The sequence below is a fragment of the Homo sapiens genome, chromosome 1 (assembly GCF_000001405.40).
Source record: "Homo sapiens chromosome 1, GRCh38.p14 Primary Assembly".
Taxonomy (NCBI): Eukaryota; Metazoa; Chordata; class Mammalia; order Primates; family Hominidae; genus Homo; species Homo sapiens.
This window is the reverse complement of record NC_000001.11, coordinates 158,113,675-158,115,553: the sequence shown is the minus strand read 5'-3', so window position 1 is coordinate 158,115,553 and position 1,879 is coordinate 158,113,675. Positions and strand designations below refer to the sequence as shown.

At 51.4% G+C, this 1,879-nt stretch overlaps 1 annotated feature.

Moving 5' to 3' along the window:
* Positions 299–348: an enhancer, noted in NCBI's record as "active region_1896". NCBI's record gives its function as "activates an Ori minimal core promoter by ATAC-STARR-seq in GM12878 lymphoblastoid cells {active_cell/tissue: GM12878}" and the evidence as "EXISTENCE:reporter gene assay evidence [ECO:0000049][PMID:35858748]".

The following is a 1,879-nucleotide window of genomic DNA, read 5'->3' as shown; positions in this document are numbered from 1 at the left end:
CTTACCTGCTCCTTTTCCTTTCCTACCCCCGGCCTACTCAGCCACTCTCTTCTATAGAGAACCTTCCTAAGTCCACAAAGACACAGAGGACACTCTCTTGTTGGGATATTCTCCTTGGTCTCTACCCCTAACATAGTCATAGATTAACACAGTTGTAGACTTCTGAGTCCATGGAATACAACCTCCTTATTTTACAGAAAAGAGAACTGAGACTCGAGAGATGAGGTAAGTAACCAAGGGCCCACAGCTCAGTCATCTGTATGTAAATGGCATGCCACCACTCACTCCGTTCAGTGCTCATACACCTCTATACAGACATCTGCACGGACACATCATCCATGGCCTGGTGTTATGGTGAGGGTATGGGTGGGGGTGAGAGCTGGGAATAATTCTACACAGGACCCCTGGGAGACAGGCCAGGTATCCTCAGTTCTTTTTAATTTTCATTTATTTGTTCATTTTTTGAGATAGAGTCTCGCTCTGTCACTCAGGCTAGAGTGCAGTCTCAACTCACTGCAACCTCCACCTCTCGAGTTCAAGTGATTCTCCTACTTCAGCCTCCAGAGTAGCTGGGATTACAGGTGCCTGCCACCACGCCCGGCTAATGTTTGTACTTTTAGTAGAGATGGGGTTTCTCCATGTTGGCTAGGCTGGTCTCGAACTCCTCACCTCAGATTATCTGCCAGCCTCGGCCTCCCAAATGTGTTGGGATGACAGGAGTGAGCCACTGTGCCCGGCCCTTGGCCCCCTTTTTAAATTTTTTAAATTTTTTACTTTTTTTTTTTTTTTTTTGAGACGGAGTCTTGCTCTGTTGCCCATGCTGGAGTGCAATGGCATGATTTCGGCTCACTACAACCTCTGCTTCCCAGGTTCAAGCGATTCTCCTGCCTCATCCTCCCAAGTAGCTGGAACTACAGGTGCCTGCCACCATGCCTGGCTAATTTTTGTATTTTTAGTAGAGATGGGGTTTCACTGTGTTGGCCAAGCTGGTCTCGAACTCCTGACCTCATGATCTGCCTGCCTCGGCCTCCCAAAGTGCTGGAATTACAAGCGTGAGCTACCACGACTGGCCAATTTTTTAAATGTTTGTGTGCACTCCTCAGCTTCTTTCTGAGCCATTCTGGGAATCTTACAGTTGGGAAGATAGTCAACCGGCCAACTGGATGCATCAGTCACCCCACACTCCAAAGAACTCCCCAGAAGATGTTGGCCCGGCTTGGCTGTCTTTGGATCTCTGTCTCTCTCTGTCTCTCTCTCTCTCTCTCTGCTTCAGGGAAGGAAACATTTCTGGTGAATGAGGAGGCAACGGGCGAGACCTCAGGAGACAAGGTTGTTCATTCTAGGAATCTGTCTCAGACAATCTTCATCACCCGGAAACGATGGGAGGGGTGATGGGGGTGTCTTTCTGTGGGCATAGGGACAGAGGCCAGGGTCGACTGAGAAACAGACGATGAAGAGACAAGAAGGAAAAGGAGAGATGGCCTAGGACAGGCAGGGAGCCAGCTAAGTTTCCGCCAGGCTGAGTTCCGTGAAGGAAGAGATGCCTATTTTAGTCATCCCTGTATCCCTCCTGCCTCCTTCCTCACCCCCAGGTCCCCAGCACTAAGAAGAGAGTGATGTGGAGAAATGGATGGGGGCACCCAACGAATATGAAGCTGAAAGACAGGGGAAATGGCAGAAACAAAGGACAACCTTTAAGAAGCAAACGGGGTGGCAGAAAGGAAGAGTAGGGACGTGGAGGCAGCAGAAAGGCAGGCCACAGCTCAGGAGTTACGGAGGAGCAGAGGAGGGCAGGGGAGGGCTCGGCCCGCGGAGTCAGCGCTCCTCCCGCGCCGACCTCGGGCTCCGGGCGGCCGCCGGGGGGCGCCGGGCGCATCCT